The following is a 650-nucleotide window of genomic DNA, read 5'->3' on the forward strand; positions in this document are numbered from 1 at the left end:
AATTTTTGTATTTTTAGTAGAGACGGGGTTTCACCATGTTGGCTGGGCTGGTCTCGAACTCCTGACCTCAGACCTCAGGTGATCCACCCCCCCCCCCCCCCCCCACCCCACGGGCCTCCCAAAGTTCTGGGATTATGGGCGTGAGCCACTGCGCCCAGCCTGTGTTTTTCTTTTATAGTAGCCATCCTAATGGGTATGAGGTGGTACCTCATTGTGGCTAAACCATGTACGTTTAAGAATTTACACACACACACACACACACACACACACACACGTGATGAAGCTGTAAGAAAAGGGAGAGAATAATGACCCAAAATGTCAGCACAAGGATGCCTCAGGGGTAGACACAGGTGTCTTCTTAGCGCCTTTTAGCCCACGCATATGTGCTTGCGCAGTCTCTCGGTGTGTTTTCTAACATTTCACAATTAAATAAGGAGTAGTTGATATTCACAGCCACCATTTCCACCGTATATGTAGAGAAAAATGCTCAAATCCTAGCGATCAGCCCGCTGAGCTTTCACAAACCGAACACACCGTGCGGTCACGAGGCGGCTCTCCCGAACACCGGCTCTGCACCCCCAGGGCCCGGGGAACCAAGACTTCCCCAAGGGCCCAGCAAAAGTGAGGGAGGAGGGGAGGAAAGGAGGGAG

This window comes from Homo sapiens, chromosome 21 (assembly GCF_000001405.40).
Source record: "Homo sapiens chromosome 21, GRCh38.p14 Primary Assembly".
In the NCBI taxonomy this organism is placed as follows: domain Eukaryota; kingdom Metazoa; phylum Chordata; class Mammalia; order Primates; family Hominidae; genus Homo; species Homo sapiens.